At 38.8% G+C, this 22,942-nt stretch overlaps 1 protein-coding gene across 17 annotated transcripts in view, besides 1 other annotated feature; it reads right to left on the bottom strand.

Moving 5' to 3' along the window:
• NCOA7 (nuclear receptor coactivator 7) overlaps positions 1–22,942 on the bottom strand; it is a 150,920-nt gene that overhangs the window by 89,440 nt on the left and 38,538 nt on the right. The gene's annotated exons all lie outside the window — the stretch shown is intronic.
• Positions 20,418–20,712: a silencer, noted in NCBI's record as "tiled region #14390; HepG2 Repressive non-DNase unmatched - State 5:Enh". NCBI's record gives its function as "represses a minimal TATA promoter and a strong SV40 promoter by Sharpr-MPRA in HepG2 cells {active_cell/tissue: HepG2}" and the evidence as "EXISTENCE:reporter gene assay evidence [ECO:0000049][PMID:27701403]".

Here is a 22,942-nt window from a genome sequence, read left to right as displayed (position 1 = left end):
TCCCAAAATATTTTTTTATTTTGCTAGAATTCCTTAGTAAAGGAAACCTTTTTAAATTATTTTTTTAGAAATGCTTTTTACTCAAAATGAACTGTATTCTCTGACTACTCAATGAATCTTATAGAAAGCAGCATTGGCATATATTTTCGTGACACATATATTTTGCTACAACAGCAATATATTGCAGTGACATAATTCTGGAAGAACAGCAAAATGTTGTTTTCTTGAAGACATTTTAGTCAAACACAAAGCATACTATCTTGAAAAATCTCAAGCAAGCACAAACTCAATGATGCCAGCGACTCTGTCATCCAATTTTAACTGACTTTCCCGTTAACTACTTAAACTGTAGAAATATTGAGGGAAATAAGGGCTAAAATACAGAATCCTGAAACGAATCAGTTTAGTATATAAACTAATACTCTACTGAAAGCCTCGTAAGGGAAACATAGTTTATGATCAGCAGAAATGGCCTGATGACAGAAAACACTTATAAGTAGCATAAAATTAGAATATGTTCTAGCTTAACTTCTCTCTCCTCTCAACTTTAAAAAATAAACTCTTATATTAATCTGACATTGCTTTTGAATAATTTTAGACATACGTACCCTTTTATGATAATATACTTTCATTGTCATAAACTAGAAGTGACCTCATAAATCATTCTGTCATTACAGGTACTTTCAGAAAGAATAATCTAATATCAGGTATGAAATTTTAAAACTTATTTTGGCAGATGCTCTCAATTTAGTTGGTTTACATCCAACATGTCCATTCAACATCTTAGAGGTATTTTTTCCAATTGCTACATGCTGGCTACTGCTTGGGAAGTGATGTTGCTCAAAAACAGAATTTCTGGGGTGGTAGACTGGTAGTACCTACTCTAAATTTTTTTCCTTCTAAAGTTAGTGCAGAACTCTGAGTCTGGATAATTCATTCACATGTAAAGGCAAACCCAAAATAGATTTTGAAGAAAAATCTTGGCCTTGCTTTCATCTTTCTGAGGGTGCATTTCCATGACAATGACCATCCAATCACAAGACGGTCTTGATCACGCTCTTAAAAAAAAATCCAACAATGGCCACCTCTCAAGTTACCAGTTTGATTTTAACCAACCACAGGTTGTGGTATAACAAAAAATAAATAAATATAATCATGCCTTGCTAAACGACAGGGATACATTCTGAGAAACGTGTCATTAGGTGATTTTGTCATTATACAAACATTATAGAATATACTTACTACAAACCCACATAGAATAGCCTATGACACACCTAGGCTATATGGTAGAACCCATTGCTACTAGGCTACAAAACTGTACAGCATGTTACTGTACTGAATCCTGTAGGCAGTTGTAACCAGTAAGTATTTGTGTATCTAAACAGGTGTAAAAACATAAAAGGTAGGCCAGGCGCGGTGGCTCACACCTGTAATCCCAGCACTTTGGGAAGCCGAGGCAGTGGATCTCTAGGTCAGGAGTTCAAGACCAGCCTGGCCAACAAAGTGAAATCCTGTCTCTACTAAAACTACAAAAATTAGCTGGGCACAGTGGCAGGTGCCTGTAATCCCAGCTACTCGGGAGGCTCAGGCAGGAGAATCATTTGAACCTGGGTGGCAGAGGTTGCAGTGAGCCAAGTTCATGCCACTGCACTCCAGCCTGGGTGACAGATTGAGACTCTGTCTCAAAAAAAAAAAAAAAAAAAAAAAAAAAAAAAAAAAAAAAAAACCAACCAAACAAAAAAAACCATAAAAGGTAAAATAAAAATATGGTATTAAAAAATGGTGTCCAGGCACGATGACTCAAGCCTGTAATCCCAGCACTTTGGGAGGCCAAAGCAGAAGAACTGCTTGAGCCCAGGAGTTTCAAGACCAGCCTAGAAAGACCCTGTCTCTACAATTTTCTTTTTTTTTTATTTAGCCAGGCATGGTGGCATCCTGAGTAGTTCCAGCTACTCAGAAGGCTGTGGTGGGAGGACCACCTGAGCCTGGGAGGTTTGAGGCTACAGTGAGCTATGATCATGCCACTGCACTCCATCTGGGGCAACAGAGCAAGACCCTGTCTCAAAAAGAAAAGAAAAAATGATATACCTGTATAGGGTCCTTACCATGTATGGTTGCTGCTCTTGGGGAGTCAGAGAGTGAGTGGTGAGTAAATGTGCTTACTGTGCTCTACTGCAGACTTTCTAAACACTGTATACTTAGGCTGCACTAAATTTATATAATTTTTTCCCTCATTCAATAATAAACTACCTTAGCTTACTATAACTTTTTTACTTTATCAGTTTTTAAATAACTTTTTGATATTTAGCTAAAAATATAAACACATTGTATAGCATACAAAAATATTTTCTTTATATGCTTATTCTATAAGCTTTTTTCTATTTCTAAAATTTTTAACTTTTTTGTTTTACTTTTTAAACTTGTCAAAAGCTAAGACATAAACACAGAGGGTCTACACAGGGTCAGGAACATCAACGTCATTGTCTTCCACCTCCACATCCTGTCCCACTGGAAGTTCTCAGGGGCAATAACACACAGGGAAGTATCCTCTCCTATGATAACAATGCCTTTTTCTGGAACACCTCCTGAAAGACCTGCCTGAGGCTGTTCTGTTTAGCTTTTTTTTTTTAATAATCAGAAAACACTCTAAAATAATAATAACTAGTGTAGTAAATACATAAACCAGTAACACAGTCATTTATCATCATTATCAAGTATTATGTACCGTAAATAATTGTATGTACTATGCTTTTCCACAGCTGGCAGTACAGTGGGTTTGTTTACACCAGCATCACTGAGTAATGTGTTGCACTATGACGGTGACAATGTTACTGGATGATAGAATTTGTTAGCCCCATCATAATCTTATGGAACCACCATCATAAATGAGGCCAGTGGCTTATGTGGAACATTACTGTATTTGGTCTTTGTCCCCAGGTTCCTGGCACAGACTTCCTAAAACACTGGAATCTCGTGAGTGATAAAGAGCGTCTTTTGTATTCTCATGAGATGACTCAAAGCTGCGGAGGGAGGGAGGTGCCTCGAGAGCTTCTAGATGGGGTCTAGCCACCAGAAAGATCCAGCCAGGATTAAAAGGTTGGAACTTTCAGCCCCACCCGACAGTCCACTTCTCAAGAGGGGAGGGGACAGCAGATAGAGTTAAATCACTAAGGCCTAGGCCTCGCGCAGTGGCTGACTCTTGTAATCCCAGCACTTTGTGAGGCTGAGGTTGGACTGATTACTTGAATCAGGAGTTCAAGACCAGCCTAGCCAAAATGGTGAAACCCCATCTCTACTAAAAATACAAAAATTATCCAGGCGTGGTGGCATGCACCTGCAGTCCCAGCTACTTGGGAGGCTGAGGCAGGAGAATTGCTTGAACCCGGGAGGCAGAGGTTGCAGTGAGCTGAGATTGCTCCACTGCACTCTAGCCTGGGTGACAGAGTGATACTCTGTCTCAAAAACAAACAAACAAACAAACAAAAATCACCAAGGGCTAATGATTTAATCAATCATGCATAGGTAATGAACCTCCAAGAAAAACCCTTAAATGTCGAAGTTCTGAAAGTTTCCAGGGTGATGAACACACTATGCGTCTGCGAAGGTGGTGCACCCAGAGAGGGCATGGAAGCTTGTTGGCACCACCCCTGAATCCCCCAACCTACCACCCCTGAGTCCCCCATACCTTGCCCTCTGCCTCTCTTCCATTGGGCTGTTCCTGAGTTATATCCTTTATAATAAACTGGTTAAGTGTAAGAAAAGTGTTTTCCTGAGTCCCCTGCGCAGTTCTAGTGAACTCTCAAACCTGAGGAGGCGGTCATGGGAAACCCCAAATTTGCAGTCAAGGTGGACAAAAGTACAGGTGGTCTGGGGACCTGGGACTTACAACAGAGCTCTTAAATCTGTGGAGTCTGAGGCTAACTCTGAGAAGTTAGTGTCAAAATTGAATGGAATTGTTGGACACTCAACTGGTGTTGGAGAACCAGAGAACACCTCTAGTGAAGGAAATAAAAGCATTTCACTCCAGAATATGCTTCTTTGACATGTTTTGAGATGGCTGTTCAGAGGGCTTGCAAACAGAAGTACCCCTGCAAAGCTGTCTTTCATGGGGGAGTTTTGCATCAATCCAGCCAGGTCTTCCCTTGTCCTGATCTAGGAAAGATTTAACTGAGAGTCGGACACCTTTAAAGATCTGAAAGAAGCATTTACCACCTATCCTCTCTGATGGCTGCCACCTATCAGGTTTCATCTGTATAACAAGACTACCTTCACAAGCCAGGCCTCCTCCTCTTCTTTCCTTCCCCATAATCTATCTTGCCACTGTAATCTTGATTTTTGGCCATGCCCTGAGCCCCATTCTTTCCGTGACCTCAAGATGGTATAGAAGCTTCTGCACCCCATTGTAGGCTTGGGTAAACACTTCATGGTCTCCCAAACACTTGGGTTCTCCTCATGAATGTTAAAAAAAAATTGTATGCTTCTCTCTTATTAATCTGCCTTTTATGAGTTCATTTTTCAGTGAAGCTTCAGAGGGTGAAGGGGAAGTTTTTCCTTAGCCCCTAGAGAGTTAAGGACTAGGAAGGGCTTTGTTATCAAAGGGACTGGCGTGTGCTCTACTCATTAAGAGGAAGAAATATGGGAAGGAGTCCCTTTTTAACACCGACCATGAAGTAGTTCTGCATCAGTCATACAACTAAGAGCAGCATGCAATTTACTGTCCCATTTTTCATGCCAATTTATATGTTCCCTGGTCTGGACTTTCCATTTTTAAATAGTATATCGTAATTTCTTTAATAAGTGCAATGATGAGAAAATATAATAGCATATGGATGATCTCAGCCTCCTTCCTCATGCTGCCTCCTAAGGGAACTCTGGGTTTGTTTCCTTTTCCTGGTTCTGAGCTTATGAACACAGGTGTGGGAAATGAATTAGGGGGAGAAGTGGAAAAAGAAATATAGTGAGAGAAGAAATAGAAGAAAATAAACCTAAAAGGAAAGAAGGGGAAAAGGTAAGGACATGAGGAGATACACTGACTGGATATGGGAAGGGTTTCAAAAAGGAGAAAGAGTTTGGGGAAGTAGCTGAGAGACATGTAAAAGGTCAGAGAGATGGAGAAAGAGGATTTTAAAGTTTTATCAAATATATGGCATTTATTACCCCCTTGGATGTTTTCTGAAAGGTGAAGTAAATATTTATTTTCAATTATTTTCTCTGATATACTTATTTCTTTGAATGTGACTTAATCCTGGGACTGGACCAAGGCATGGCTGGTTATACACAGGTGACACACGTGTACTTTTCTGAAGATGCCTTAAAGGTGGAGCATGTATGAATGAATGAATGAATGAATGAGAAACAAACTTCAATCCGGGAAAGATGAAGCAGGCTAATTATAAGTTATCTATGTCAAATTTCATAAATTGATATAAACCTTGAATCAGACCATGTTACATAGACTTTTAGGCTAATTTCTCAAGCAAAGTCGCTTTACACACATACAATGAGAGAAATCAAACTTCACTCAACATTTATCTAATTTAAAGAATAATGTAAGGTATTTTGTGAGGAGATAACTACCCCAAGACCTAACAATTCCCCACTGCTTGAACACTTTGCCCCAAATGGAGAGCTGGAATTTCCTATCATAAATGTTTCTTCATACTTAATATGTCACCTGGCACACACAGGTGCAACCAACTTCCTAATATGAAATTAACTAAGTTATCAAGCACCCTCTCCAGTAGCAGACTTTACCAAGAAAGTTTTGCTTTGATTTTACTACGTGTTCTTTTTTATTTTTTAGTAGTTGTTGATAAAAGGCAAGGTAATTTCTCATAGATGTGTACTTGTTTATGTGGTTTTAAATGTTCTGCTCCCAGGCATTCCTTTTAATTTCAATACAGTTTCTAAAACTCTCTTGAACATTTGTAATGTTGGAATAATAGTCATCCAAATTTCCTGTGGATTTCCATACTCCTGCATTAAGCCATAAGAAAACTCAGCTGGACTTTATTTTGGCTGAGTTAAAGGCGGTTTTGAAGAAAACCAAAATGGAATGATAACAATATTTTATCAGATGGGGGAAAATAAATATGTTTTTAACTATTACTGAGACTCTGCAGGGAGTATATCAGCTACAGTTCAAACAAAAGCCAAATCAGGGAAAATTTCATTGCTGTTTGTATGGATTAGACCAAAGAATCTTCAATCTTTAATCATCTACATCAAAGGGTCCCTTAAAAAGAGGGGCTCAATATTTTAACGCATGTATACATTACAACTTCACAATGGCATCAGCAAAAATGAAAATTCATATTTACCAACCATTATGTCCCTGGCATGACAACTATACATTTTTTAAAGTGCTCTTTATTCATAAATTAATTTTTCTATATTCAGATACTGTTTTAGTGGAGTTGTGGTATTAAACACTAAATTGAGTTTTCTGAATTCTACATAAAGCTGTCACAATATTAAAAATTCTAAAACAGTTTAAGATGAAAATATAATTACCTAAACTAATGAAAGAATTTGTACCTTTTCCATTTTGTTTCCAAGAAGCGTAAATCATAGAATCTCAAGTAGGAAAGTTCTTTAAAGGTTATCTTGTCAAATCATCCATTCAATGATGGAATTAACTATGATATTTACAGTGACATGTACAGTGTCTAAAAACTCACTGAGACTCAAAGCATGTCATTCTCCTTTTTAAAAGCTTTAAATCCAGTGCCTAGTACAGTGCCTGACATACTACAGAAAACTGCAGTAGATTTCAATGGCCTCCCTACAATCTATTCCTTATTCTGTAATACCAGATCTGGGTAGGACTCATCCTAGCTCCAGGAAGGACATCTTTATGTGGGCCTGTCCAATCAAAGCACTGAGTCTCTGCCTCTGCCAGTGGCAGCCACTACTCCAAAACCTAGCACCGGCTCTAAGTTGGTCCAATCCCTGTGAGTCTCAGGACTTGTGAGACCTAATAGCAAGCATTTGCTTTGCCTGCTGTTGCATAATAGAGATTCTGACTTAGCAGCATTTATCAAGTAAAGCCTGAAAAAGGAAGCTAAAAGAAAGGAAGGATTTAGATACAGACAAACTGAGTCATAATGACATTATTTGAGTCCCAAATCCAGGCATTCCTGATGTCAAATCTTATCTGGGACTTTTTACTTATGTGAACCAGAAACTCCATATTCCTTTTTTTTTTTCTCCTAAGGTAGTCTGATCTGTTTTCTGTTACTTGACCTAGAAAGGGGAAAGAGCTTCCTGACTATTACAGGAATTTGCGTAAGTAAGGTTGCTCCATGCCAACAACACAAAAATGTGGATTGGCTGAGCTGGGTTTGGATGATACTTGGAAACTTAGCAGTCTTTATCACATGAAAATAACATGGATAGCTGTTGTATCTTAAGATTAGATTGTGTGCCTATCAAGGCTGCATTATTGGGGAACTCAGGAAATTTTAAAGATTCTGGAATAAGTGTTCTACCTCTTTTAGCCTGAGAAAAGAAAAGAACTTTTATCTGGGAAATATACATCCTTTTAAATTATCAGGCTGCAGAGACACTAAAATGAGACTGCAATCACATCTTACTTCCCGCTGGAGCTATGTATTCATCTCCAGAACCAGCCTGCTATTGCCACAAGCAGCTATAAATTAATCTAATAATGCCACACCAGACACTATAACTTAATGCATAGCCAATCACTAATCAATGCTATTTCTGTAAGCCAACAAGAATTCCTGGCACATCACTTTGTATCAGCCCACTTCCTATCTCTTTTTTGCCTTTAAAAATCAACTTGTAACTGCTGCTAATCAGAGTGTATATTCAGGGCATCTTCAATCTATGCTCCTGGGCTACAATCCTCAAGTTTGGCTCAAATCAACTCTACCTGCATTAATTTTGCCTCAGCTTCTTCCTTTTAGGTCAGCAAGACTTCAGTGAGGTCTTAAAAGAAACACGCAAGCTTGAGATATCATTGGTCTGCTAAAGTAGAGTGAGATGAAAGCACAACTCTGCTAAGAGAAAACCTCTGTCTGTGGCTTGCAGCAGCTGAGAGTCTGGTGACCCTGGTTAAATAACAACCTCTTAAGACCTCAGTAGCTCACCTCTACCAAGAAGTTAGCTTAGGTTGTTTTTAAGATATTTTCCATCCCTAAATGTCTATAACAATAAACAACTAAGTAAATAAATGAATCTAGATCATATGGGGATTATCTGATGAACAAAAATCTTCCGTTTTTTTAATCAAACTTTAAAGAATTTTCTTTTACCTACAAGGGATTAATTATACTATGTTCACATGTATTTAATAAGTATTATTTACATTTTAAAGTCACTTTAGTTTTCTCTAGTGATGATTTCAGACACACAAATAATTGTATCATGAGAACTTTTTATGGTTAAAACCAAATATTTGTTTTTATTAAAACAAAAACAAAAATAAGCTGCCCACATATTTCTGTTAATACTCTTCCACTGTGTATGAAAGTACATCTTATTTTTAAAGATCATTTTGTCACGTCTTAATAATCCTACCGACCAAATGTTTTTGCAAGCATTACGATTTTAAAAAAATAATAAAAGCTTTGCAGTTTAACATGACAATTTTTTTAAATTCTATTATTATTTCTCAGAGGAAACAACACTGTAGAATCAACAAAAAGGAAGGAAGAGACAAAGGGAAGAAGGGCCTTACTTAAGCTAGTGTTAACTTTATAATTTCTCTGCAGTTAGAAGTTAGGGGCAAAACTGAGTTTTGGGGGAGTGAGAGGAGGTCAGGGATATGTCTTAAAGCTGCACCAGCTAAGCAACCTGACTCCTTTTATTAGAACTGCATGTTTATTTGGGGTGGCCTGTGGAACGTGCTGATGGCAATGGCACAGGTGAATGGAGAGAGAAGCCACAGCCCCCAAAGCACCCCTTGCCACCACCCTGATTGAAACAAGACATCAGCCTCATTTATTCCCTCCCCCTGTCCCTCCCCCTCCCCCCCTCCCTTTCCTTTCCTTTTCTTTTGACAGAATCTTGCTCTGTTGCCTAGACTGGAGTGCAGTGGTGTGATCTCAGCTCACTGCAACTTCTGCCTCCCAATTCTCCTGCCTCAGCTTCCCGAGTAGCTGGGATTACAGGAGCCTGTCACACCTCGCTAATTTTTGTATTTTTAGTACAGACAGGGTTTCACCATGAGGCCAGGCTGGTCTCAAACTCCTGACTTCAAGTAATGCACCTACCTCAGCCTCCCATAGTCCTGGGATTACAGGTGTGAGCCACCAAGCCCGGCCAGCCCCATTATTTCCAAGAGTTTTAGCTGTCTGCCTACTCAACTGTTTTATGTTTGATCTTCATAATAAGCAAATTTATCTGTCCTGGTTTCCACTTTTTTCTTAATTTCTCATTTTCTCTTTAATGAGGTTAAACTATGCAAATCACTTACAATTTATGACTTCAAATTCACAAATTTCTAGTGCCAATAGTTTCACTCTGCGGCAACACAAACTGGAGCAGAAGTTTTATTTTGAAGATATGTTTCATTAAGCATGATTTCTGGAAGTTGAAAAATAACTTACATAATATGCAAGAAAGAAAACTATTCTGAAGTTCCAGAGAGAAACTGAAACGATTTGGTGGGCAGAACACATGGCAGGGGAGAAAGGAGGTCTGGAGACCATGCCATGCTGTGACACAACAGTGTGGCGATGTCCCACAGACCTGAAATCTGGAGCAGCCGAGGCTGCAGAAAATAACAAGGTGGCTGAGAGATCCAGCGGTTCCTCCTGTGTCCTGCCAAAGAACATCCACTTTGTAGCAGCACTTCCCCAGGAGCTAAGCTTGGTGCTGAGTTTCACTGTAACTGGCTGTGAATTCTGAACAGCCCACCAGCCAAAGCTGATATAAAACTGTGATCTTTGAGCATCCTTGGTATGCTAGGCCCTTAAGGGCCCTAAGTGAAGGCTCTTCACTGCCCCATGACAAATGGGACTAGTTAAAACCAATCATTTGTGGCCTTATGGACTCATTTCCTCTATCCAGGCTGCAAACTTCATTTCCCCTATCCAGGGTACAAACTTCAATCTCTAAGTAGCATTACCAATGAACATGTGTGTGTCCTCTTGCCTGGCAAATAATAAAATAATTTACTGCTTGTTTTGTTCATCCCTTAAGTAGTTAAAAGAGAGTAAAGTATTTGGGGGCTCCCTAGCAGGGGGATAAAAGCAACCAAAATTTGACCTGGGTAGGGTTAGGCAGGTTTAGCGCACAAAATGTCAAAGTGGCAGAGAGCCTCCTAAAAATTATTATAGCCATCACTCAAGAGGAAATTGTCCAGACACATGATCAAGAGATTGACTGTCATGGAAGAAACCTGAAATGATTCCCTAGTGCCTTTGAAATTATTGGTAGAAATTTTGTAGATTTGGATTAATTATTTTTTTTTATTTTTAGGTGAAGATTTTAACTGTCAATCAAAAGGGAGATACGGAAGAAGTATAGAGCAGATAACACTGTGAAAGAATTGACGCAAACAAGCCCAGTGTGGCGGCTCATGTCTGTAATATGTTCTTCCGAAACAAATTCTGTCAACTCCATCACAAATGAGTCTGTGGAAGAACCAATGCTGAAAGCATCTCAGTAAACAAATATGGCCCAATAAACTCAAGTTTCTAATGGGCAGGCATATAGGGGATGGCGAGAAGGCACATAATAGAGCTCAAACGAAAGCAAAAAGCAAATGACAGAAGTCTATAGGAACAGGCATAGAAAGTGAAAGCTCAGCATATGCAGAAGTTTGTAAACAATGCAAAGGAAAACTAACGAGAAAATTATAGGGATGTTGAGAGGCTGAAGAGGCAAGAAGCAATAGGCCCACTGGGTGAAGTTAAGCTGTAAGAGAGAGAAAACAGGTCTAGTCCAATCCTATTTTTAGCTTTAGCAAAGAGAATAGGCAAAAAATTAAAAAGGATGACATATCCATGGCTAAGAAGAAAGTGAAATCCAGGATGAAGTCTCTAGTCCTGTCAAAGCAACCCTCTGAGTTGCAGTACCATTACCAGTAATCTCAAAAGAATCACTGAGAAAGAAAATTGGAAGTAGGAAAAAAAAAAAACAAACAAACCTGGTTTTCAAAAGAAATAAAAAATTTGGAAATGACACACCGAGTAGCTTGATATCAACTGTCAGAAAAATAAACTGATAGCTCATTAATCATTTGTGATTACCTGAAGATAAATTATTGACTTCTAGGAACCACTATAGGTACACTAAAATGAGTGACTCTAAATGAACATAATTATCTTTTTTGGTTGGGCTAGATTTGGCATATTGATGGGCCAGTCACAGGAGGTAGTATAGAAAGATTTCACTAAGGCCCCTGAAAATGTCACTACTTTTCTTAAGGTAAGATGGAAACAGCTGGACTAGAGAATTCGGTTAACTTAGAGGAAACTGATTTATAGCAAACTGAAATACTTAACGATAACTATTTCATGTACTGACAGTACTAATATGCCATAATGCATAAAGCTTTCCAATTCAGCCTTTTAATCAACTACTTGGATAAGAACATAACACATGCTATTCAAGTTGCATATCTGACGCAATCTAGGGAGGGCAGAAAATATGTTCAATGTTAAAAATCAGGCTTCAAAATTCCTGGAAAATAGAATAATAGACAGAAAACAAACAAGACAAAATTCCAATTCAGATGGAAAAACACTTTTCCCCCCTCACTATGAGCATAATTTCTGTCAACAAAATAATGAAATGTGGTGTTTATTAATAAAAGTAAAGGATAAGTATATATATCTATACACACACACACACACACACATACACACACACACACACACACACATATATATATATATATAAAATATATAGAGAGAGACACAGGGCCTCACTTTGTCACCCAATCTGGAGTGCAGTGCCATGATTAAAGCTCACTGCAGCCTTGACTTCTCAGGCTCAAGCAATCCTCCCACCTCAGTACCCCAACCCCTAGGCCCCTGCCAGTAACTGGGACTACAGGCACTCACCACCATGCCTGGTAATTTAAAAAAATTTTTTGTAGACACAAGGTCTCACTATGTTGCCCAGGCTGGTCTTGAGCTTCTGGCCTCAAACAATCCTTCCACCTCAGCCTTCCAAAGTGCTGGGATTACAGGTGTAAGCCACCTTGCCTGGCCTAATATTCTTATATTTGCATTAATCAGGTCATATCAAGATGGCAAAGAATCTGAAAACTCCATCTTAGGTGGAGAGATTTAGAAACTTATGATACTCATCCTGGAAAAGGTTCAGGGATGGAAAGGTACGATACTCATCCTGGAAAAGGTTCATGATGTTGTCTTTAAACACATGCAATGATAATATATGAAAGATGGATTTGATTTATTCTGTATGGATTCGAAGTAACAAGGAATAAATAGAATAAGCTGAAAGGAAATAAAATTTAACCAAAAATTTAAAAACAACTTCCCTCTAACAAGAGTTTTTCAAGCAAGAAATAAGCAGCCTTGAGGGTCCTTGAGACATTGTTATAGCTCGAAAAGTTCAAGTCCAGGCTGAAAACATTCTATTTGTCAAAGGCAGTAGATATTCCAAACCTAGCATGGTAGCCCACACGACCTCCATATTTCGACTAAAAGATTTTATAATTCTGAAATTAGGCATGATGCCTGTATTAAGGAGGTTAAGTGGAAGAAGAAAAATATCAAGTTAACATGAACCTGACACTTAGAAAAGAAAATGCTGTGTTTTCTTTCTAATCTCTCAATTACTTCTTCTAGGATTCCAGGGCATTGTCTGATTACTATATTACCTGGTGCTTCTATACTCTTAGAGGGGGACGTTAGTTCCTCATATGATATGACTATACAGCTAAAGCCACTGTGAAACAGTGCACTAAATTAGAATTTTGAATGCAGGAAAAGAAATTTACTAGTTGTTATCAGATCTACACAGACATAACCACTTCACCGCAGGTTGTTTACTTGAGAAAACACAGGAACATCTTTGCTAGTGGCTTCCTTTGCTGGAGAGGATGCTGCAGCACACCCAACTATTCTCAACAAACACAACGTATATCAAGTTCCTACACCGATGTCACTGCTTACAGCATTAAGATTAGCATCCTTCATTTAAAACAGATATGAATGATTGGTCCTCACTTAAAACAGGATAACTATACTAATACACTAATATATTAAAATCCAGTCACATAGTTTATTTTAAAAATTCCTATTAATAAGGAAAAACTTAATACCACCAAGGTGCTCTAACTCCTAGCATTGTACATCTGTCTCTTAAAATAATATGTAAAAGTTCTACTAAAAAAATTGAAACAGGAGCTCAAATACTTTTGGACATAGATTATAAAGAGGACATATTATAATAATTTGTTACCAATGGTTATAAAAATTTTTTATGGAAAAATGTCTAAACTTTAAAATTTTATTTTTAGAGATTAAAATTTTAAATATAAATTCTAAAATTTCTAAATTAATGTTTTCATCTAAGATATTACAATTAAAAAATTCTCTTATGGAAGAGAATGTTCTAATTATTTTTACATTCTATTTAAAGGGCACTATGGAGGTAGCAGTTAAGAATAAAGGCTTTGGAATTAGATACAAGTAGGAAGAGACCCTGGCTCCATTATTTGCTAGCTATGGAACTTGGGGAGTTATTAAACCACTCCAAGCCTGTTTCCTTGCCTATAAAAATGAGAAAACTAATACCATAGTGAGGTCATATTTGTAAATCTCCTGGCACAGCATGAGTGTGCAATCAGCAAAACAGAGCCCACAGTGCCACCAATCCGCACAAGTAAAACTAAAACACATTACAGGTCCTAGACAGCCAGCCTAGGTGCATGTATCCCAGTATGGCTCCTCTCCTGCCTTGCTTCTTTGCTAATATCCTCATGGCATTAAGTAACCACCAGTCTTCAAGTGGACATCCCTGAGGGATCCCTTTCTGATGCACCATCCTCATTAGCCAACAAGCATGCTCTAATGCCTCCTCTTCCTCTTCCATCTTCAAAAACTCACCATTCCTTGACTCTCACATCTTCCTCCTGCCAAGGCCTGAATATTTGGCTTCCCTTCCCAGCCGATTTCCCAAAAGAATTAGCTAGAAGCTTGGTCTCCACTCCCTTACCTCCTATTCACATCAAACTGGCTTCTCCCACCACTGTGCTGAAACTGCTTTTATCCAATCAATTATCAGTGACCTCCAAGTGTCAATCTTAATGGATACTTTGCAGTCCTCATCTTAATTTACCTCTCAGCTACTTGCAAACCTGCTGATCATTCGCTCCTTGAAATTCTCTCTTCTCTCAGCTGCAGTGATTCTATCTCTTCTGAGTTTCATCCTACTTCTCTTTCTGTACTAGACCACCAAATGTTGAAATTTCCTAATTCTGTTCCCATTCTTTAGTTCTGTTCTTTTTTCACTTTATATGCCCTGCCTATATGATGTCATCCTTTCCCATGGCTGAGGCCAACAACTCTGAAATTTCCATCTCAGTCCAGAACCTGTTTTCAATCCAGATTTACACATACCCAATTGTGTATTTAGTGGTTGTCTTGTAAGCATCTCAAACTTAACGTATTAAATTCTTGAGATACTCTCTCAAAACTGTTGTTTTTCTAGTTTTCCCATTCCAGATAATGGCACCTCCATCCATCTAGCTGTTCAATCCAAATTCCTAAACATGGCCAAGAAGGCCCTGCATGATCTGCCTCAGCCTACCTCTTAACATTGCCTGTGCATTTCTCCCAAAAAAGCACTGTGTTCAAGGAACATTGGCCATCTTGCAGATCCAGGAAGCTGCCAAGCTTTTTGTCACTTTAAGGACTTTTCATCCAAGGATTCTCCCTACCTAGAATATTCCCGTCCTTCCCTCTCTCCCTAGCCCTTCTCCTAAACACACAGATTACCTGGTGAACTCCTGCTTGTACCCAAGATCATTAAAAGTCATTAACACATGAGTATTAAATGACCTTTAAATGTCATTTTCTCCAAAGGTCCTTGAACATAACTTGTGTCTAAAGTGGATACTACTTTTGCACTTCTCTTTTATGATGTCTTGTTGCTTTCCCTCACAGCAAATACAGCCATTTATAATGACATATGGATTTGATGTTCTTCTTTAATGTCTGCTATGGTTTGAATGTTCCCTCCAAAACTCATGTTGAAATGTAATTGCCATTGTGACAGAATTAAGAGGTGGCACTGTTAAGAGGTGATTAGGCCAAGTGGGTTCCATCCTCATTAATGGATAAATGTTATTATTGTGGGAGCATGCTGGTTATTAGAAGAGTGCATTTTTATAAAAGTGAGTTTGGCCCTCTCTTGCTTGCTCACTCTCACTTTTTTTTTTTTTTTTTTTTTTTTTTTTGAGATGGAGTTTCACTCTTGTTGCCCAGGCTGGATTGCAATGGCGCAGGTCTCAGCTCACCACAACCTCTGCCTCCGGGGTTCACACAATTCTCCTGCCTCAGCTTCCAGATTACAGGTGTGCGCCACTACGCCCAGCTAATTTTGTATTTTTAGTAGAGACAGGGCTTCTCCATGTTGGTCAGGCTGATCTCAAACTCCTGACCTCAGGTGATCCGCCCGCCTGAGACTCCCAAAGTGCTGGGATTACAGGCATGGGTCACCGCGCCCAGCCCACTCTCACCCTTTCTTGCCCTCCCACCTTCCACCATGGGGTGATACAGCATGCAGGCCCTTGTCAGATGCTGGCACCATGCTCTTGGACTTCCCAGACTCCAGAACTGTGAGCCAAATAAATTTCTGTTCATTGTAAATTACCCAGTCTGTGACATTGTGTTAAAGCAACACAAAATGAACTAAGACAACGTATTTGTGAAAAGTATTCTCCATAAGGGCAAGGACCATATTTGTTTTGTTTACCAATCTACCGTCTGGGCTTAATAGGCACAGGCACATAAGGTCTCTCTGAGATGCAAGCAATGCATATGTTTCTCTTCATAACATAAAGAATATTACCTAAATTCTTACATTTAATTACATGAAAGAACTGAGAGAAGTCTTAAATATCTAGTTGCATCGGCTAATATAAAAACCAAAATGGTCATTATTCAAAATCACAGAAAGGTTTTCCTATGCATTAAAAACAAATAGGAAGAAGGAGGTAAAGATTACATATATTGGATTTGTAACCCAATTAATTTTGTAATTTTTCATTTTAAATGATTCATTAAAATAATGCGCTTTTTTTTTTTTTCTTTTAGAGACGGAGTCTTGCTCTGTCACCCAGGCTGGCGTGCAGTGGTGGAATCTTGGCTCACTCACTGCAACCTCTGCCTCCCAGGTTCAAGCAATTCTCCTGCCTCAGCCTCCCGAGTAGCTGGGACTACAGACACACACTGCCACGCCTGGCTAATTTTTTTTGTATTTTAGTGGAGATGGGGTTTCACTGTGTTGCCCAGCTGGTCTCGAACTCCTGAGGTCAGGCAATACACCCGCCTTGGCCTCCCAAAGTGCTAGGATTACAGGCGTGACCCACTGCGCTCAGCCAAAATAATGCCATTTCGTATAAAGTGTGCTTAAATATGAATACATGTGAGCTTACAACTAATTTTTATATTTTAAAAATCCATATACTCTTTTCAAAGAAAAATATGTTTGCATATGTATGTATGTGTGTGTATATACCTGTTTTTACATTTAAAATATATCTACCCTTATAAAATAAGAATATCGTTTATATAAACTTAGAGTTGTGGTTTAAAAAAATTAAATTTCTCTTATTGTCTAGTGACAGCAGTTGACTTGGCATAGTAGAAGAACTATCTCCCCGCCCATCCCCCTTAAAAGACAAAAAAAAAGATGTTGGAGCCATGGAAATGGAAATTGCTCAGTCCCCAGTGACCTTACCAGCATCTGCTGCAATTACCTTCTGAAAATAAAATAACCAAATTACTGTTCAGCTTTCTGCTGTGCTAACAAAATTAATCTGAAATATCAAAATTCATCTGCTTTATATTATGTATTATGTAACTTCTAAAACCAAAGCTCTTCTAGCTCTAAATCGTGAAGTACATGCACCACAGATGTCATAATCAACAGTAATATATTCTCACATACACAGGAAAAATTAATGGAATGATTAATAACTTCACTCAAATTATCCATGACAGTGATTTGATTTAAGTCACTCCACATATTCAAAAGTAAGATCAATCAATTTTATGTGTGGTTTGGTTTTTTAAAAAAATTGTTGGGTTTTTCTTGAGACAGAGTCTTGCTTTGTTGCTCAGGCTGGAACGACATGATCATAGCTCACTGTAACTTTCAATACCCGAGCTATCTTTTCACCTCCACTCCAGAGTAGCTAGGGTTACAGGCATGTGCTGTCATGTCTGGCTTTTTTTTTTTTTTTTTTTGTAGAGACAGGGTCTCACCATGTTGCCTAGGCTGATCTCAAACTCCTGGTATCTAGCACTCCTCCCACCTAGGCCTCTCAAAACGCTGGGATTACAGGTGTGAGCCACTGTGTCTGGCTGATCAATTATAATTCTTTTTGAGATGGAGTTCCCTCTTGTCACTCAGACTGGAGTACAATGGCTTGATCTCGACTCCCTGCAATGTCCGCCTCCTGGGTTCAAGCGAATCTCCTGCTTCTGCCTATAAAATTAGCTGGGTGTGGTGGCAGGTGCCTATAGTCCCAGCTACTCCAGAGGCTGAGGCAGGAGAATGGCGTGAACCCGGGAGGCGGAGCTTGCAGTGAGCCGAGATCACGCCACTGCACTCCAGCCTGGGCAACAGAGCAAGACTCCGTCTCAGGGAGAAAAAAATTAAAAAAGAGATGGAGGAGAGGAGACAGTTTAAATCACTTTTCTTTCCCTGGAATCTGTCTTGGAGTCTGGAGTATTGGACCTTTCACTGAAGCATATGACTAAAGCAGGTTTACAGACAAGTTTTAGGGGATTTATAAACTCCCTGAAATTTACCCAACAGTTGTATCTATATATTTGTATTTTTTCTCATTTATTCCTGTATTCACCATTTAGGGAGCAAGCTTTTATATTAAAATTATTTAGTGCTTATTTTTTAAAGTATTATTCTAAAGACTTCATATATTTTAATTCATTCAATCCTCTCAATAACCTTATAAGGTAGGTACTATTATTCCCATTTTGGGGAAAACTAGACCCAAAGCTCCACAGTAGTAAGTAGTTCTATAGAGAAGAAACCTGCAGGAGGTCCAAAAGCAAAAGTCTCCCAAGTTTCACCACAATAGTTCCATCTGGGGGTTTTGTGAGATGACTTTACTGTTCTTGAACCAGGATTTGGAATGACCAATCAGTCTGGGATTTCAGGTTAAACAGAAACATGCTTGTGATTATTCGTTGAAATTAGTTTATAGGAACCCATTAAACTGTAGTGTGGGTAAGTATATTTACTGAACAGGCACTTTATGGACAGCTGCCAATCAGCCAATGTGTGTTAGATGAATAATTTTCAAATAAATTCATTTTTGAATGATAAAAAAAAAACCCTCACTCCCAATATGCTAACAATTAAGGAATCCTCTAAATCAATGGGTCTTTTTTTAATGCTGGCCCATAATAAAAAAAATTTAAACTGTGATTCAATATGTACATACTTAACATTTAAAACACAATTTTCATAAACAAATATTTATTCTTACTACATACAACACATTCTGATATTTTCTATTTCAGTCCAGCTTAGTCCAGTCTAATCTATTCTGTTCTGTTCCATTAAAAAAAAAATGCTGTTTCTTATCCACTAAACTGATTTCATGAGACCCTAACGGGTTATAACCCACAGCTTGTAGTATTTTACACAGAATTAAGTAACTTAGCCTGTTCCTCAAAAACGAAGCAAAAAGCATGAGTCTAACTATTAATGGCTAAATGTTTATAAGCCTTTTTTTAATCTTTAGGAAAAAGTTAATGATTTCCTGAAAACATTAGCAGATAAAACTTGACCATGGATATTTTTCCCAGTAATGAATGTCAAGCAATTTGTAAATACTCACTTAAGAGTTGCCTGGTCTGAACTCAAATGAGAAAATACAAAATATAAGCCTTAACATCACGGCTCATACAACAGTTTAGTTAGTAATTTGTAATACTGTCAAATAAGGTACTAGCAGCTTTTTCATAGAAAATGGTTTTGAAATATTCTCAATATTTTTAAGATTAATAAAATTGCTGAATACTGAAAAATTTGTAGTGATAAAAATTAAAATTCACAAACCATTTATATCCTACATTAAAGAAACTGTTTTGAATATTGTGTCAGTTGATCAACAAGTATTTAACACTTGCTGTATGCCAACCACTATTGAATAGGCCCCTTGAAAGAATAATGAACGATTGGAGAGTCTCCACCTTCCAGATGTCCATTTGCGGGGGGATTGACTGTAAAACCAATAAACAAATAAGAGCTATGGAAATCATGCAAGAGAGTGTCCTTGAGCAGTGCTGTGGATCGCTTCATCTCAGGTGGATGGCGCTTTGAAATTGAAATCCAATGTTTCTGGTAAAGTCAACTGTAACATTCTCCTTCCATGCCCATATATAATTTTTTTTTTCTATTTATCACATTATGATGCTAACAGCATGTTTTTTTTTGTTGTTTTTTTTTTTTTTTGGAGATGGAGTCTCACTCTGTCGCCCAGGCTGGAGGGCAGTAGAGCAATCTCGGGTCACTGCAACCTCTGCCTCCTGGGTTCAAGTGATTCTCTTGCTTCAGTCTCCCATGTAGCTGGGATTACAGGTCTGTGCCACCATGCCCAGCTAATTTTTGTATTTTTAGTAGAGACGGGGTTTCACTATGTTGGTGAGGCTGGTCTCAAACTCCTGACCTCAAGTGATCTGCTTGCCTCAGCCTCCCAAAGTGCTGGGACTACAGGCATGGGCCACCATGCTTGGCCCTAACAACATGTTCTAATCCCCCTTTCAGACAAAGTAGACACTAATACTTAGTGCAATGTAAACTGAGGTAACATGAAGAATAACACTCAGAGATACAGACACAGCAGACAGGGATTTGGGGCTCAGGCCCTCCATTTAAAGGCTAAGTGATTTGGGGTAAGTTATTTCACCTCCTGAACAACAGATTCATTACCTGCATTTATATTTATTTGTAGGATCATTTTAAGGATAAACAGAATGCTTGTGAAATTACTTCATAAAGTTCCAACAACTGCTATTATTATTAACGTGTATTAGAATCAGTAGGCATAGTGAAACTGATAAAATAAAATGACCAAATATTAAAAAAGTATAAAGCTAACATTTAGCAAGTACTTAAAACTGTTCTATTTGCGTTTTATGTATCAACACAATTAAAACTGTGCTATGACTGAGTATCTGAATCCAACAATGGGCAATAAATTTCTCCTCAAATGCCAGACATACTAAAGATGATTTAAGATGATAAATCTCTAACAGCCCTTGGCCAGCAGGAAAAAACAATCTACAGTTAATTAAAGAAAGGGCAAGAGTTCACATCACACCACTCCACCCACGTGGTATAATCATTCTTGGCACTGGCACACCACAAAGAGATGGCTGCTTCCTAGGATTCAAAGGTTGCCTCTGTGGGGCTGGAGACAAGGAGCATAACACTTTGTGCTCCACCAGTGCTGCAGATCAACCACCCAGATCCATCCACGTGATGCCTTCCACTGGACCTCAGACTCTGTATTTGACCAAGAGGACAAAGGAAGGCTTTTTGTACAGAATTATTTCTGCATTCATTTCTATCATGGGCAACTGCTCTTTTCAGACAACATGCAACCTTAGGGAGTAAAGTGGATCACTGTAATGCAACACCCTGACTTACACAGGTGAAGTATTACAGACTGCCTGCTTCCTATTGTCTTGGTAGGTTAATACTCTGACATTAACCATATTATAGATGAATAAGTTGATAAGACATGGATTATGGGATGTTGTCAAGTTATAAACAAATTATTTTTGAAAAGGTCGCTTATAAGTTAGACCTTTAGAACCTATGATGCATTTCTCCAAATTAATTTACACTGGTGTAAATTAATGTTCAGCTGTCAAGACTGCCCACAGAAATCTATGCAACCCACACTGTGAGTAGCAGCAGGTCAGGTGACCTGTGTTCTATAAGCCCCGTTTTGCAACTAAAGGGGCACATGGCAGCACTGCAGAGCATAAGCTCTGGATGGAGAAGGGAAGACCTGAGTTCAAATCCTGACACGCCTATCTTATCTCAGTGAAGTTATTCAACCCCTTTGAGTATAAATTATCATAGCAGTCAAATTATATTTAGGGATGAACTTTTTTTAAATCAGATGTTTGGTATGAAGATAATCTGGATCACTTTTTACAAAAGCCTTTTTCATATCAAGGCATGCAGAAAGATGATAATACTTCTACTCATCCCTGGGGTAAGATGCTGATCATAGCTAAAGATGACCAGCCCAGGTCTCTGACAAACCCAATCCCTGCCTGGCCACTCTGAGGACCAAGGGGGCCAGTATCACTGGCACGCCGCTTGACATGACGGTTCATCAAGCCACTCAAGTGGTGAGGCTCTGATTACCAATTAATATATCTAAAAGTACCCTGGGATAGAGCCAGCCTATCATGGACCCTTTCACCTCATGGGCTTAGGGTCCAACTGTTAAATAAAAGACTGTTAGGTTTCTCAAGGCCCTTTGACTATATAACTCCACTTCATTATATCCCAGAACCTAACTAACTGTGCTTATAGCAAAGTATCTTTGGGAAATGATATGGTTCCAATTTGGATTGTCGTTAAGTGTTCCTTCTTCCCTGATCTGAACAACAGGAGCAGCTCATGGGCTGAAAGTGGGAGGTCAAGATGAAAATTAGGTGAAGATGTAGGTAGACACAGAAGTAAGATCAGGAATGATTTGTTATTAAAGGAATGTGTGAGTACTCACTGTATCAGGTACTGTTCGTATATTACCCTCAATCTTCATAGCCATCTTGGTTTCATTTTACTTGAACACGAAAGCTACAAAGTGTACTATTCACACAACAGAGAAAGCTATACAGTGGGTTCAAATCTCCTCTGCCATGGAAAAGAGAATAAGGGGACCAGCTGTTCAGCTCTGGCCCTCCTTGCTGGGTCCCATTTGAGCTTCTCTCCAGTTCTGGCTGGTTGGGATGTCTCCTTCTTCAAAAGCATCTTGTTAGTTGGTTATTTTTAGCAACATTTAACAACTGAAGAAATGTAAGGTAAAGGAAGCTTAGAAGACTTGCCAGAGGTTATACACTGGAGTGAACTGCAAACACTAGGTGTTCTGCTTGTGGGTCAGAGGTTCAAGGGTGAAGAATTGCCAGGGCAGAGGCTGGAGATGGGAGCTAAGAAATGTTCTACACTTTGCATCCTTTGTCACTGAGAATGATGACAGAGGTGGTGCTGGCTCCTACTGCTGCTCTGAAAGGCTGGGTTAAGAGGAAAGCGGAGGTGGGAGCAGCAGTTCTGCTTTTCATGACAACCAGGGAATAGGGGAGGTGGGAGCCAACAAGGGACCTACATGAACACCCAGTCTGTGTCTTCGTCTATATTACTCACTGTTTACTCCCAGGCTCTCACACCTTATCAGAGGGGAAAAGTAAACCTCCCACAAAACACCATTTGGTTCAACTACAGATGTATTTTGGATATCTTCAATCAACGCTTGATCCTGAAAAAATGCTTTCAAAGAATCTTCAACCAATGGCATACAAGGACCTACTCGGAAATCACAAAAGCCAAATAATGTCAAGCAAGTGTGTAAGAAGACAGCCCTGTATGGCAATACTAAAGAAAATTTTGCATTCTAACTACAAGGGGAAGGAAGAGTCAGCAGGGGTGTAACAAATGACACATGATAGTCACCCCAGAGGATAGCATAAATTGTACACAGTACAAATAGTACAGAAAG

Source organism: Homo sapiens, chromosome 6, assembly GCF_000001405.40.
Source record: "Homo sapiens chromosome 6, GRCh38.p14 Primary Assembly".
Taxonomy (NCBI): domain Eukaryota; kingdom Metazoa; phylum Chordata; class Mammalia; order Primates; family Hominidae; genus Homo; species Homo sapiens.
The sequence above is the reverse complement of the archived record's forward strand: the minus strand, read 5'-3'. Positions and strand labels throughout refer to the sequence as shown.